Raw genomic sequence first — 16,449 nt, forward strand, 5'->3', positions numbered from 1 at the left:
CACGCCCGGCTAATTTTTGTATTTTTAGTAGAGATGGGGTTTCACCATATTGGCCAGGCTGGTCTCGAACTCCTGACCTCAGGTGATCCACCCACCTCGGCCTCCCAAAGTGCTGGGATTACAGGTGTGAGCCACTGCGCCCAGCCTGTTCACTGCTGGCATAAATAAATGCGCCAATTTTTGTATGTTGATTTTGTATCCTGAAAACTTATTGAATCTGTTCATCAGTTCTAATAGGTTTTTGGTGGAGTCTTTAGGTTTTTCCAAATATAAAATCATATCATCTGCAAACAAGGACATTTTGACTTCTTCCATTCCAACTTGGATGCCCTTTCTTTCTTTCTCTTGTCTGACTGCTCTAACTAGGACTTCCACTACTGTGTTGAATCATAGTGGTGAAAGTGGGCATCTTTGTCATGTTCCAGATCTTAGAGGAAAAGCTTCAAGTATTTCCCCCTTTCACTATGATATGAGCTGTGGGTCTGTCATAAACGGTGTTTACTGAATTGAGGCATACCCGGTTTTTTGAGGGTTTTGTCATGAAGAGATGTTGAATTTTATCCGATATTTTTTCAGCATCAATTGAAATGATCATATGGGTTTTGTCCTTCACTTTGTTGATATAACGTACCACACTGATTGATCTGCATATGTTGAACCACGCTTGCATCCCTGGGATAGATTCCACTTGGTCATGACGAATGATCTTTTAAATGTGTTGTAGAATTCGGTTTGCTAGTATTTTGTTGAGTATCAATATTCATCAGGGATACTGGCCTGTAGTGTTTTTTTTTTGGTTTTGTTTTGTTTTGTTTTTGATGTGTCTTTGTCTGGTTTGGGTATCAGGGTAATACTGGCCTCATACAGTACATTTGGAAATATTTCCTCCTCTATTTTTCAGAATAGTTTCAGGAGGATTGGTATTAGTTCTTCTTTAAATATTTGGTAAAATTCAGCAGTGAAGCCATCAGGTCCTGAACTTTTTTTTTGCTGGGAAATTTTTATTACAGCTTCAATCTTATTACTTGTTATTGGTCTGCTCAGGTTTTGGACTTCTTCATTGTTCAATCTTGGAAGATTGTATGTGTCGAGGAATTTATCCGTTTCTTCCAGGTTTTCCCATTTCTTGGCATAGTAGCTTCTAATGATCCTTTGAATTTCTACGGTATCGGTTATAATGTCTTCTTTTTCTTCTCTGATTTTATTTGGATCTTTTTTTCTTAGTCTGGCTAAATGTTCGTTAGTTTTGTGTATATTTTCAAGAAACCAACTGTTTGTTTCATTGAACTTTGGTATTGTTTTCTTTGCTTCAATTTCATTTATTTCTGCTCTGATCTTTATTATTTCTTTTCTTCTAGTAATTTTGCGTTTGGTTTGCTCTGGCTTTTCTAGTTCTTTAAGATGCATCATTAGGTTATTTGGAGTTCTTCTACTTTTTTAATGTAGATGCTTTAGCTATATCATTTACAAATTTTAAACCAGTGTCTGATACACAGCTGACATGTAATCAAGGAATCCACTAATTAAGGAATTAATAACTAGATTCGTACATGCCTACCAATAAATATACTTCCATGAAAGCCTCTCTTCACTGAAGACTTCTGCCAGTGGTCCACATTTGGCACTAACTAACACTACAGAGTGGTTAGAAGTTCTCAAATGGACAGACTATGAGAAGCTAAAGCTTCTGTCCTAACCACCTTTCCACCTTCAATTATGCCACTCTACCTAATCATTTCAAACCAAGTTCATTATTATTGCTTTTACTATTCCTGATAGTAAATAATTCCTAATTCATGAATAAAGGAGATTACCAGAATTCGATTTAGACGAACAGTTTTAGGATCAGCCATAATGATTCTCATGGTTCTCACTGATTATGAGAAAGAGCATTTCATTAAAAATGTATTGTCAATGGAAGCAACTAGACAGAAGCTGACCTCCCATCAACCAATCTTCAAACACTTTTGGATTTAGCCAGTTTATCCTCGGTAGTCCCACTGTCTTCTCACCAGTTTATAGGAAACATCTCATGGACTTAAGCTGAGAAGATATTTTTCTGATCAGATGAGGAGAATGTGAAAAATGCTCTTCTGTTTTTAAAGGGTGCACTCTCAAAAATCTGCAAATGCAATGCAGTTTGAGAGGTAAGTACCAGGTGTTAGGAAACCTAATGAGACCCTTAATGTAGCCAATATGTAAAAGAGAGAGGAAATGGTTAGAAGAGTGTCAGGAAACATAACGCTGAGGAGGAGATTATTTAGAGATGAATTACTACAAGTATGAATCAATAACGTTAAAAGGAGCAGGGGAGGAATGTTAGAGGATCTTAATGTCTTGGAGAAAATGTTGGCACATCTGTGAAGTGTAGTATTTAGGAAAACAAGTACTAATATGCAGTACTCATGGTGGGACAGCACGGGGAGGCATGGAAAGGGCCAGAGTATGAAGAGCCCTTATATGCCTTGCTAGAGTTTGTCCTTTACTCTGGGAGAAATCGAGTTCTTTTACATTCTCTTTTTTAAGGGGCATGGTATATTCAAACACATTTTATTTAACAGTGATTTTCAGAATAATAGAGGCTGAGCACTCAGGAGTATACTGAAGTCAAGTAAGTCAGAAATGATCATTGCAATCAACAAAGGCAGTAGAAGAAGAGATGGAATAAGAAGAATGGATTTGGAGGATAATTACAAAGTAGAACTGACCATATATGGTAACCTATCAACTGTAACTAATGTTTCTCCAGAAATGGAAGAACTTTCTCATCTACAATTAAAGCAGCTGCGCAGGATCACCAAACTAAGGAACTACTTGTCCACCTTTCCCCCACCAGAGAAAATAAAAAATGTCATCATAGAAGACAGTCTTTTTATGTTTCAATTTTATTTCCAACTTAGCATATTCTAACCTCCTAACCTTCCCTGCTACAGTTTTGTGGCCCATTATCTTAACAGCCACTAAGAAGCAAGTCCAAAGAAATATATGTGGTATGGAAAGACTACCTTATAAAAAGATGAGGATTATGGCAAGTGACTCTTTCTCGATCTGCATCTGCTAATTCTTTGTCTCCTCCAGATGAATTCTGCACCAACTATGAATCTCTATCCAAAAAACATGAACCATGTTACAAAGAATTTTCCCCAAAATCACACACTCTAGAGCAGATCACACATTTAACCTGGAGAAAGGGCATTGGCTGACATTTCACACAATCTAGTCCTTCTTTATGTAAGAAATGGTGGGTCTTAAAATTCCACAATCTCCAATAGATACAAATGATCTGTTCTTAGAAGCTTCATCCAGTGCCTTGGGCTGATCCTGTATGGAACTGTCACATGGGAACTCCCTTAAAAAGGGTCATGACAGATAGAAGAGGCAAGAGGGATGCAGAAGTGAGGTTCTGGTGCTACCTTTACAATAGCCTTTTTAAAGCCGCGTTATTATCACATGATTCTGCTCCCCTTCCCTTTCTGAAGTATCATGGAAGAAGCCTCTTGAAGTGCTACTCTCTATAGCTTCCTTTGATCATCTTGAGAACCAACAGGAAACTTGGGCAAAATGAGAGCTCTCGTGATTGGGTCAGTTCTACTTCTGGATGGTTATTTTAATTTTTAAGGTTCTAAATTCTGTAATTCAGGCCAACCATGAAAGACAAATCATAGAGAAAATAAAAGTATATCTCATTTTCAAACCAAGGACCATGAACTCTGCATTAACCCCTTAACAATTTTTCACCCACTGCCCCCAACACCCTCCTCAGAGCCACGGTTTTGTGCCTTTTATATATTGGTCACCTTTAATTTTTTCATGTTCAAGGGAGCTGTCATCTAAGCAGCTACAAGAAACCTTTCCTTCTAATCTTGTTCAGTTCCCTAAGAAGCTAGATGATATTTAACACTAGCTTTTTCATAATACTTATTTTAGACAGGAACCTAGTAAATATCCTACAGTGAATAAATAAAGTAGTTATGTGGAAAGAGTGGGACGGGCTTTCAAACCAATACTGGTGATCTCATACTTAGAACATGTAAAAAAAAACACCTCTGTTTACTCTAAGGCCATAATTTCTCCTTATTTATTTATTTATTTATTTTCTGAGAGAGACAGAGTTTCATTCTTGTTGCCCGGGCTGGAGTGCAATGGCACAATCTCGGCTCACTGCAACCTCCACCTCCTGCAGGAGAATCAAGCGATTCTCCTGCCTCAGCCTCCCGAGTAGCTGGGATTACAGGCGCTTGCCACCACACCCGGCTAATTTTGTATTTTCAGTAGAGACAGGTTTCTCCATGTTTGTCAGGCTGGTCTCGAACTCCCAACCTCAGGTGATCCGCCTGCCTTGGCCTCCCAAAGTACTGGGATTACAGGCATGAGCCATGGCGCCTGGCCAATTGCTCCTTTCTTAACGTACCAACAGACATGCTGATAACTTTAAAATAGTTTTAACAGCAAAATGTCCCAGCAAATGTGAGTACAACCCATTAGTATCTAGTTTAATAAGAATTTCCCCACAAAAACAAAACCCAAAAAACTTGGATTAACAAGAGGCTATGTGAAGTTAAAATTGTAAGTGGGCAGTTGGAACCCTGTTAAAATGTCAAGTTTAACTATAAATTTCTCGCTAAAAAAAAAACAAAAACAAAAACAAAAATCCCAGTCTGGCTCTTAAATCTAGAAATAAGGTAGAATGTAGGCAATGTTAACCAAGGCACGAATCTGCTAAACTTGTGAAGGTCCACACATGGCTGGTGTCTGGGAGGTTGAAAGTTTCCAGCTCAACAAATGAAAGGTCATGTGTCCAGTTTTTTAAGATAACAGGCAATTACTGATTGAGATCTTAGTAATACTGCCTCACCCAGGTGAAAAACATCCAGAGGAAATGAATCTAGAGTTAAGAACTACTGTGAAGAATGGGCTCTGATTCTCACTAAATATTTAGCTTTATTAACTCTATGATCATGGCCCCCATGATAGACAAACTGCACAGTTTAACCCATATATTTTAAAAGGCCCACTACTGCCCCACTTCCCACCAAACTTAGTTTATTGAACATGTCCTTTAAAAACTGTAAGTTAGGGCTTTGCATATTAATGTTTAAAATAAGGAGCAAGTGGTGAGTTATTGCACCATAGATCACTCATATAAATACTCTTACCAAGTATATACTGCTCCATTATTTGTAGCTCTTTTTTTATCTTTTAAGAGACAGGATCAGGCTCTGTCATCCAGGCTGGAGTACAATGGCATGAACACGGCTCACTGCAGCCTTGATCTCCTGGGCTCAAGCGATCCTCCTGCCTATGCCTCCCCCAAGCAGCTGGGACTACAGTCATTCACCACCATGTCTGGCTAATTTTCTTATTTTATTTTGTAGAGATGGGGTCTTGCCATGTTGCCCAACTGGTCTTGAACTCCTGGCCTCAAGCAATCCTCCCACCTCGGCCTCTCAAAGTGGGATTACAGGCGTAAGCCACCACGCCTGGCCTATTTGTTGTTTTTATTGACCTTTCCTTGGTCACTGACTCTGGGATAGGATCTGGTTGTAAGTTAACTTGGCTATAGGCTAGGTTATGCTATGCTAACAAATAAACCCGAAAAACCAGTGTCTTAATACAACACAGGTTTACTTCTTGCTCATGCAAAATCCTCTGCAGGTCAGGCAATTCTCCTAAAATGACACTTGAGTGTCCCAGGTGTCAACCATCCTGTGTAACCACCATCTCAAACATGAGCTTTCAAATTGCTTCAGCAAGGAAAGGGAGAGCAAAGAGTGCTTACATGCAATGGTTTATGCTTTGACCACTTGCCTCAATCATGTAACAATCAAAGCTGAAAAATCCAGTCTTTCTTTGTTCCAGGGAAGATAAAAATGAAACGGAACTCAGTTAACTGAGGTCTGTCTTTGCCACAATGACAAGATCTATTGTGAAAATGATATGAGGTAGCTACTATTACCATCTCTTCTTATAATTGAGGAAACCAAAGCTCAGGGATATAAGTAACTTCTCCATAGCTAGAAAGTGATGGAGGCTCTCAGCAAACTAACACAGGAACAGAAAACCAAACACTGCATTTTCTCACTCATAAGTGGGAGTTGAACAATGAGAACACATGCACACAGGGAGGGGAACATCACACACTGGGGCCTGTTGGGAGGTGGGGGGCTAGGGGAGGGATAGCATTAGGAGAAATACCTAATGTAGAAGATGCGTTGATGGGTGCAGCAAACCACCAGAGCACGTGTATACCTACATAACACACCTGCACGTCCTGCACATGTATCCCAGAACTTAAAGTGTAAGAAAAAAAAAAGAAAAAGGATTTGTGGTACACAATTATCCCTCTAGGACCATATAAACCAGATTACAATGGCCTAAAATAAATTGATCTAAATTTTTTTTAAAATTTTAGCCAGTAAATTTTAAATATGTCATAAATCCTTTATTTCCATGAAATTTTAAAGAGGGTCTAGTGCTATATTAAGAGTTAAAAAAGATAAATCATGTCAAGTTTAAAATGAATAAATTTGGGTAGTCAAAGGAAAAAAAAAAGAGAAAGTGATGGAGGCATGTCTATTTAATTCTAGAGCTTCAACCTTTAACCATTATATTCTGTCTGCTGTTCATGCAGAACCTGCACCAGAGCATTACCATAAGGTTGAAGTCAGCAGAAAAGTTAAAATTTTTCTTTGGCATAAAATAAGGTTGTGTTCCAACTCTCATCTTTTAACAAGTGACTTAATGATATGTTATAAACTGAGCAAGATACATGTTCTTGCTAAAGAAAACAGAAAAACAAATATTCTTTTAAAAACTAATAGGTTTTATTATCCTAAACTAGAAATGGCTTTAGCAGACAACTGGAATGCTAGTTCATTATTATCAGAAAGGATTACAGACCAATGATTCCTAACCCTAAGCTTTGTTTCTGCATCTAACAATCTCATAAAATAAATTATCATATGTAGTTACCTTGGTGTACTTACCACAGATGATTTATCTTGAAGGGCATGTGAGAAAAGAACATTGCTCAAAACTAGGGCATTGCTCAAAGTTTCAAGGGAAATTTTTGCTTAAACTGGATACTTGCTTAGCCCACCATATTTAGCTAGGAATCCTCATAATGTTCCTGGAGTACTTACCCTACCACAGATCAACCTTCATTTTTCATTTTTCTTTTGCTTCTACTTTGAAGATCAACTGTTACTTAAACATATGTTCTCAATCCAATTTGCAATACAAAATATCTGCACTCTGATACTTCTTAGGTAGTATAACTTTGAACTCATTGCTATGTACTACTACTAAAAACTAAGCTGAAGCTAGGCACAGTGTCTCATGCCTATAATACCAGCACTTTGGGAGGCTGAGGTGGAAGGATCACTTGAGCCCAGGAGGAGTTCAAGAGCAGCCCGGGTAACATGGCGAAACCCTGTCTCAACAAAAAATACAAAAATTAGCTGGGCATGGTGCCACATGGCTATGATCCCAGCTACTCGGGAGGCTGAGGTGGGAAGATTGCTTGAGCCCAGGAGGTAGAGGCTGCAGTGAGCCATGATCATGCCACTGCACTCCAGCCTGGTCAACAGAACAAGACCCTGTCCCCCCAAATAAATAAATAAATTAATTAATTAATTAATTAAATTAAAAACTGAGTTGAGACATACAATATTTAGAGAGAACTGCTCAAAAGGCACACAGGCCATCCATTTACAGATATTCTAAAATCTAGCTCTTGGTCAAGTCATAGCAACAGAAGTCTAGGTACCTGAACCACACTGTAATGACTACGTAGGAACTGCTTTTACTGAATTGTACTTTGGTATGATAACAACAGTCCATGTAAAAGAAAGTCCCAAGAAACCACAGCTACCAAGACATTGTCTAGGAAGCTGTAACAGCATCCAAGAAAATCTATTCTGAGGAATGGGTTTATTTTATCTTATGAACCCAGTCACCTAGTGTCATTGACAACAGAGCTCAGAGCCAAATGTACAGCCTATCAACAGACAAGTATCAAATTCCCATTGCTACGCTTTCCCTGACTCCATTTTTTATCCATCTCCTACCTTTTTTTTTTCGTTTTTCTTTTCCTTCTACTTTTAATTTCTGTTTTACTGTTTTGTGATAATATATATGTATTATATAAACTGTTTTAAATCCTTTTCAAAACAAAGCAGGGAAACACAGAAATAAAAAGATCAAGAGAGTTTCCTGGGGTCCTTTAAAGGATCCCTTCTAGGATCCAGATCCATTTGTAACACTCTGGATAGAATTATATATATCTAATCATTAAAGGTTCAGGACGAACTAAAGCCAAGTGCTTTTATCTATAAGAATTTAATTACTTAGACCTGACCAGGAGTTGGCAAATTTTTTGAGTAAGACATCTATTGCTATGTGGTTAGGCTGATGTTTCTAAGAGGTATGTAAGAGGCACTTGATTAAAAGATTGTTACTGAAACTGCAACCACTCACTAAATTTTACCTGGTATACATTTCCTTTCTGATGCTAGAAACTTTTTGAAGACAAATCTGACTCAATGATTAAAAGATGAGAAGCAAGAAATGCGTTGTTACTTTTGTTTATAAACTACCATGGCAAGTTGCTACTTACTTAGGGAGGAAAAAGGGGAGGAAAGAATAATTTTGACCAAGTACATGGCATCTCCAGGACTTGAAAAGGGCTCAAATAAAAAATGGGAGAAAAATATTTCCCTAGAGATACATACTGAATACTGAGTGGAGCTAGGAAGCTAGGAATTATCTAAGAGTTTACTAACAGTGGCAGAGGTGCAAGAAGTATCTTTTCAAAAAAAAATTTTTAAATATATTGATAAGGCAGCGGTTGTTAACATTATGATAAGTTATTGGAGGAAGAGGGGTAAAAGCAAGAAGGTCAGTTTTGTAAAGAGGTTAATCAAAGAGTTGTCCTGCTGGGTTTGAGCCCATTAGTATTAAAACCCTGATCATGCTTCTGCTTACTAGAGATCCTGTAGCTCAAAATCCCGGTAAAGGAGGGAGTCCCGATGACCAACATACAGAAATTGAGTATCCTAAAAACTGATGAGTAAAGGGTGCCCCCAAGAGAGACCTGAATTATAGAAAGGAAGAGAGTCACAATCCCATCTGAAAGCCAGGCAACTAAGTTTTTCTCCCAGTCTTACTAAAATTCCAGCATTGTAATGGTACCTACTGTCTGCAGAAGAGGAAGCACCAAAGAATACCCTGAGAGACCAATGTAAGCAGGAGGAAGAATACAAGCTTTCCCCAAGCAGGTTGTAACAAGGAGAGGGATAAAAAGCCTTTCCACGATAGGACAACACAAGAGTCACTGTGGATCCAGATTTCTCAACCTCGGCGCTACTGACATTTGTAGCCAGATAATTCTTTAGTGTAGGAGGCTGTCTTGTGCATTGTAGGATGCTTGGCAGCATCCCTGGCCTCTACCCCTTAGATGGCAATAGCATCCCTAACAATTGTGACAACCAAAAAAATGTCTGCAGACATTGCCAAATGTCTACAGGGGGGGCAAAAATCACCCCTATGCTATGGATGAAATAACAAACAGCTTCCAGTGTTAACTCGCTCTCTTGGTAAACAGCACTCCCAAACCACCTCATCTCCTGAACCAGGAAACAGAGACAAAACAGAAGAATTTGTAGGAAAAATAACAAGTTCAATTTTGCATATGTCAAGATGTGAGATAGCAAATGGAGATGTCCAAAAGATAGTTGGGATAAATGAGACTGGAAACAAGAAAAGAGGGCTTGGCTAGAGAAACAAACCAGAAAACCATTAGCTACATTAGCTCAGAAAAAGCCTCTGAGAAAGGTTTTCTTGAATCTTCAGCCAAAATAAAAATCTCTCAATAGATGATGATTATTACCCTACACAAACTCTACCTAGTACTTAATTAAACAAGAAGCCCTTGATGGATTTAGTCTACTGCAGGGTAATGCAGTACTCAAGCACAATTTTTACCTTCATCTGGACAAACTTGCCATATGTTAAGGTCTTAAGGGTAAACTCTCATATATCCTTACTAATCGATATGTAGCAATAATTTTCCCATTTGGCATATGCTTCCTCTTTTGACTCTTAGTTCTCAAATCCATTGTTCCATAGTCTATCTGTTCTGAACAGATATTTGTTCTCTACTGCTGCAGATACATAATTAGTAAAAGCAGATGCAATTTTCAACATTAAGAGTTACACAGAGTGAGTTTTCCAACATTATCATTAAAGAAATTCTATACTAGAAGGCTGAAAGACTCCAAATCAATTCTTTTTCTTTAACAGAAACCTCTCTTAACAGTTTGAATACACCTCAGTTCAAAAGCCTATTTTCCTGAATGTCTGTTTTTGATTGAGAAAATTTACTTAAATGTAATTTTCCAAAAATTAGAAGACACATTTCTACATATGAATAAGTTCACTTGTTAAAAACCTATTCAAAATGTTTTATGAAGAGTTACATTTCATGTAAAAATAGCAGTGAAGAAACAATTTTCCTAACTTAAGACATATAATATGGTTAACAAAATATAGTCAAAGCAAAATAAATCTGAAAAAGTAAATAGGGATACTTTGCATATGTTATGTTCAGTTTAAACTTGTTCCCTGTGCAAAATCTTCCCCCACTGTGTTTTCTTTCATTTTTTCAACTAGCTTAAAAATTTTTTTAAGTGAGGTAAGTTGAAATTTTGTTCTAGAATAGTCTTTTAAAATATCAACCAGTTCACAGAATGTGCACTCAGCTTATCTCCACAGTTATACCATACCAACAGACTGATACACATTCAGTAAGGATAGGTATAAAGAATGGTTACATTTCCTTTTAGATATGATAAAATATTACACAGAGAACATAACTCCACAGACATTCCAAAGAGAAAAATTAAGTTTAGCATTTTTCTGACCACAAAGTACAGAATAAGCAGATTTTTAGGACCTACTTTTGTGTATATAATCCTTATTAAAAATAAAAGGATATCATAAAATTAAAATATCAGTAAACATCTGCTTTTCTTTATATGTTCCTTAGGCTAAGATTATAAAATCAAATATGATTTTTACTGAAGGGAATTACTAGCCATCCCCTAACAACCCCATCTTTTCCTCACATAAGAAAATGCAAATTATGTCTAATTTGTGTTCACCGATGAATCTTATCACTTAAAATTACAACACAGCTAGAGAAGCAAGAGAAGGAAAAGTAGTGAAGTGTGTTTAAAAGTTATTCTTTCTTACCAATATGTTGCTGTAGAATCCAAGCGTTTGAGGCACGAGCAGAGAGCATCCTTTCAACAGCTGGTGCAAGTGTCTTCCAATTAGTAAACTCCAAAGTGAAGATAAGGGTGTCAATGCTGACTGAGTCAATCCTATGTTAGCAAGATGTTAATATAATATTAGAAACAAAACATGCCAAGGGTTCGTACTTGAAACAAACACCACATACCTATTCTTACAAAATCTCAATGAGGAGGGCAGACAGAAAACCAGGGCATGTTAAGTATTTATGTAACTAGAGGCAAGATCAGAGGATATTAACAATCATCTACAGGTTCCTATTAACTGAATTGACTTTCTATGTAGCTGTCTAAGAGATGACAAGAGGAACCTCAGAGAGAGTAGGAACTTTCCTTCTCATGGGTGACAGCACCAATGACATCAGTGGATTTGCCATTATTTCCTCCCATTTGGACTATCTTGCCAAATGTAAATTGACCATCCTTACAGACATATAATTTAATAATCCTAAAAGGATAAAGCCCAAACACCCCAAGTTATCCCTAAACTGAGTGTACAAGTGTACAAGTATGGCTTGTTTCTGCCCAACTCCCAGGGATGCACAGCTGTTCTCCTCTAAGAACCTTCCCCCCATTATAAATTCAGCCCTAAACGATGTAACAGAATAAGACTTGTCTTTAAGGACTGAAAGAAGGGGTTCCAAACAGGCCTTCCTCTGTTCTTTCAAAATAACGTCAGATTCCCTACCAACCCACTCAAAAGAGGCTAACCCAAAATTTATAAGCACTTGAAACCTAATGGAAAGAGCACTGGCTTAAGAAAAGTCTTGATGTTTAATACTGCTTCTGCTACTTATAAACAGGTTGCCTGAATTATTTAAACTCTCGCTCCTGCTTTTTAAAATGAGAATAATACATAAGCTGCCCATTTCAGGGAACTATATGTGAAAATAATATGAGATAACATAGTAAACATACTTTTAAAACTATAAAGTATTATACGAAAAATTGGTATTACCAGAAACGATTTGAAAACTTCAGTATTATATTTTTAGAAGCTTTAAAATTTAGTCAAACCTTTAAAAGAACTCTAAATCCTAACAAGATTACTTATCCTGTATTCAATTAGACCCCCCCTACCATCACAATGGTTGGAGAAAAAAAAGTCACTAGGGCTTCTAGTAATTACTACCAAAACAGAAATTCTTCTCAAGGTCACCTCTTTGGAGGTATTACGGAGCAACAACAACTGAAGAAGGAAAGGAAATACAAGGAAAGAAGATAAACTGAATAACAATCTAAGCTCACCATCTCAAAGACACTTCTGGTAATTTGGAGTCAAAATATCTTTGAAATGATGGACTAAAGATTATGAAAATTATTTCCCAAATTCTTAATTCTCCAATAAGCAAACATCTAAGGAAGAACTTAAAGGGCAGCACAGATGTCTTGGGAAAACATTTTATTTCTCAGCATATCTCAGTGAAATCACAACTTATCAGAAATACTGAGGATAAATGAAATGATACAATATATTCAAAGACAAACAATTTCCTTGACTTTCTAGGGGTCCCAAACCAAAGGTTACTTGGTTCTGGTTCTTTATTTTTTTTTTTAACGATTTCATTTTTCTGCCTTAATGCACTTTAGGTCTTACTGTGACCAAACACAAAGTCATTTTTATGCAGTTATCTGAACATATACATGACAAGTAAATCTGTTTGCACAGTTTAGTTAATATAACGGTGAGTTTATTTTACCAACACTGATAATGCCACTAAAAATGTATTGTTACTTTACTACAGAGACCATTACATTGTATAGACCAGTTGTACAATCATAAACGAGTGACATTTAATCAACTAAATGCACAAATGACATTTATGTTCTATTATCCCATTAAATGGGGGTGGGGTGCGCAGGCAGAGGAATACTTAGTCTTGCATTTAAATATTGTGACAGGCAATTATTCAGCCAGATACATTTTCAAGACTGTTTAAGACAAGCAATACCCAGAAAATATGTTTATAATTTACGTGACAAAGATTAAGCAACAGACCTACATGTGATATAAATAACAATCAAAATCTACTTTAACAACATATTGGAATTTTTATAGAATGTTTCTTATAATAGCTCTTTGAATGTAAATTTGATCAAAGAAAGCAAAACATTTATCATATGCAGTGTAAACATTGGCTTTACCCATTCAATAAAAAAGATCAGTGAACAAAAATTTGACCATGTTAAGCATTTTCATTGCTAAAGTTAAATTTTCCACTGTATTTTTTCTAATGAATATAAAGTAACCAAAGTTACTCCTCAGGAGTAAAAAACATGTAATTGGCATTCTGCATTCAGAATACCGAAAGTTTCACAACTTACTTCAAAATAGTTTCTACTTTACTAGTTCTTAATTCTTTTCTATTTCACATATCCGATAAATACAGCACACACCCAATGGCTTATTGCGACAAAAATTCTCAACTGTTCACAAGTGGGGGAAAATGGGGGAGCAGTATCAGAATTGGGAAAGGGGGGATAAATTACAAAGCCTTCTAAGAGAATAAAGCTAAATAAATCCTTCTGCCTCCAAGTAGTCCATTTAGTTGGCTGGGGAGGAAAGGAAAATAGGCAATGTTTGATTTTTTCCCCCTGCTTAGGTTTTTCCTAATTTAGGAGCAGGAAGAAGCAAGAAAAATTGGCACAAATCCCTCAGGTTAGGCAAGGGATTAAGGATTACTAAAATTGAGTAATAGAACTATAGATAGCCCTCCACATCCTAAGAGTCAACCAATGGTAGATTGAGAATACTAACAACAATAATGAAAAATAACAATACAACAATAAAAAATAACACAAATTTAAAATACAGTACAACAACTATTTACATAGCATTTATAAGGCATTAGGTATTATAAGTAATCTAGAGATGACAAAGTATATGGGAGGAAGTGCATAGACTAGACACAAATACTATGCTATTTTATATAAGGGACTTGAGCATCCATGTGTCAGAGGTGTATGAACCAGAGCAACTCCATCTTGAATAGGGGCTAGGTAAAATAAGGCTGAGACCTATTGGGCTACATCCCCAGGAAATTAAGGCATTCTTAGTCACAGGATGAGACAGGAGGTCCGCACAAGATACAGGTCACAAAGAACTTGCTGATGAAACAGCACTTGGTAAAGAAGCTGGCCAAACCCCATCAAAACGAAGATGGTGATGAAAGTGACCTCTGGTCATCCTCATTGTTCATTATATGCTAATTATAACGCATTAGCATGCTAGAAGACACTCCCACCAGCCCCATGACAGTTTACCAATGCCATGGAAACTTCAGGAAGTTACCCTATAGTATAAAAAGGGGGAAACCCTCAGTCCTGGGACTTGCCCACCCCTTTCCTGGAAAATTCATTCATGAATAATTCACCCCTTGTTTAGCATGTAATCAAGAAGTAACAATAAGTATAAGCAGCTCAGCAGCCTGTGCTGCTGCTCTGCCTATGAAATAGCCATTCTTTTGTTCCCTTACTTTGTTAATAAACATGATTTCACTTTACTCTATGGACTTGCCCCGAATTCTTTCTTGCACGAGATCCAAGAACCCTCTCTTGGGTCTAGATTGGGACCCCTTTCCAGTAACACATAGATTTTGGTATCTGAGGGGGATGAGACTCAAGGCATAATTTACCTTAAATTCCTGCCAGCTGTGAGCCTGTGAAATCAAACAAGTTATCTACTTCCAAAATTCAATGGTGGGACAGGCATAAGACAAACATTCCCATTCCAAAAGGGAGACATATCCAAGAAGCAAAGAGTAATAGGACCCAAGTAAGTCCAAAATTCAAGAGGATTACCTTGAGACTCCAAGATAATCTTCCCTGACTCCACTTCAGGGCTTCCTGGATAAACTGGGATGGAGGCTGAGCCTCCACTACCTCAGGAAGCTCCACCCCTATGACTTTGCTAGGCTCAGTCCCACCCCTATGGCGCCCCTATGGCTTTGCTCAGACTTCAGCTCTCCCAAGATGGCACTTCATGCTGGTAGCTCTACAGTCCTGAGGTCTCAATGGCAGCCCTGCTCCCATGGGTCCTCTAGGCATTGCCCTGGTAGAAACTTTGTGGCAGCTCTAACCCTATATTTCTACTGGGCATTGCTCTAGAAAGGCTCTCTGCAGTGGCTCTTCTCCTGGGACAGGTCTCTTGCCTGAGCCCCCAGACTGTTTTCAACAACCTCTGGAATCTAGGTGGAGGAATCCATGCCCCCACAGCTCTTGCATTCTACATGCCTACAGAATTAGTACCACCCCACAAACCCTCCTGAAAACCAATCTGACCTCCTAGAGCCCTGGGCCTGTGATGGGAGGGACAGCCTCAAAGATCTCTGGAATGCCTTCAAGGTTTTTTTCTAATTGTCTTGATGATATCTTCTATTTGTACAAATCTGCTCAGCAAAGGGTTGCTAGTCACAACGTTGGGTTCCTCTCCTGAAAATTCTCTTTCATTCTTTTCCACACAGCCAGGCTGAGAATTTTCCAAAATTTTCTACTCTTCTTCCCTTCTAATTATATTATGTCCTAAGTCATTCCTTTGCCCTCACATCTCTCTATAAGTGGCCACAAGTAGCCATGCAGCAGCCTGAATGCTTTGCTACTTAGTTATTTCTCCCACCAGATAGCCTAGTTCATCACTCTTAAATTCAGCCTTCCATAAAGTCCTTAGGCATAGACACAGTTCATCCCAGTTCTTCACTAATTAATAACAAGGATGGCCTTTACTCCACTTTCCAACAGGGTATTGCTAATTGTCATCTGAGACCTTGTCATAATGGCCTTTGCTATCCATACTTCTATCAACATTTTGGTCACAACCACTTAAATAATCTCTAAGAAGGTTGAGACTTTCCTAGTCTTCTCATCTTATGAGCACTCACCAGAATCACCCTTAACACTCCATTTACGGAAATATAGGCTTTTTCTAGACTGTTCTTCCAAACTTTACCAGCCTCTACCCATTACCTAGTTCGAAAGCTACTTCTATATTCTTAGGTAATCGTTATGAGCAACAGCCCCACTTCTCAGTACCAAATTTCTGTCTTAGTCCATTCTCTGTTGCTATAACTCAATACCTGAGACTGGGTAATTTATAAAGAAAGTACATTTATTTCTTACAGTTCTGGAGACTGGGAAGTCC

At 37.8% G+C, this 16,449-nt stretch overlaps 2 protein-coding genes across 4 annotated transcripts in view; both read right to left on the bottom strand.

The window, feature by feature from the left end:
- ASB3 (ankyrin repeat and SOCS box containing 3) overlaps window positions 1-16,449 on the bottom strand; it is a 116,974-nt gene that overhangs the window by 12,651 nt on the left and 87,874 nt on the right. For all 3 annotated transcript variants that reach the window (NM_145863.3, NM_016115.5, NM_001201965.2), the window contains one exon: window positions 11,254-11,384. In NM_145863.3, coding sequence (NP_665862.1) covers window positions 11,254-11,384 — 131 coding nt within the window. The remainder of the gene's footprint in view (window positions 1-11,253; window positions 11,385-16,449) is intronic.
- The window catches only part of GPR75-ASB3 (GPR75-ASB3 readthrough), a 189,675-nt gene that overhangs the window by 12,338 nt on the left and 160,888 nt on the right, over window positions 1-16,449 (bottom strand). The window contains exon 9 of the mRNA NM_001164165.2: window positions 11,254-11,384. Within this exon, the coding sequence (NP_001157637.1) occupies window positions 11,254-11,384 (131 nt within the window). The remainder of the gene's footprint in view (window positions 1-11,253; window positions 11,385-16,449) is intronic.

The sequence above is a fragment of the Homo sapiens genome, chromosome 2 (genome assembly GCF_000001405.40).
Source record: "Homo sapiens chromosome 2, GRCh38.p14 Primary Assembly".
Lineage (NCBI taxonomy): Eukaryota > Metazoa > Chordata > Mammalia > Primates > Hominidae > Homo > Homo sapiens.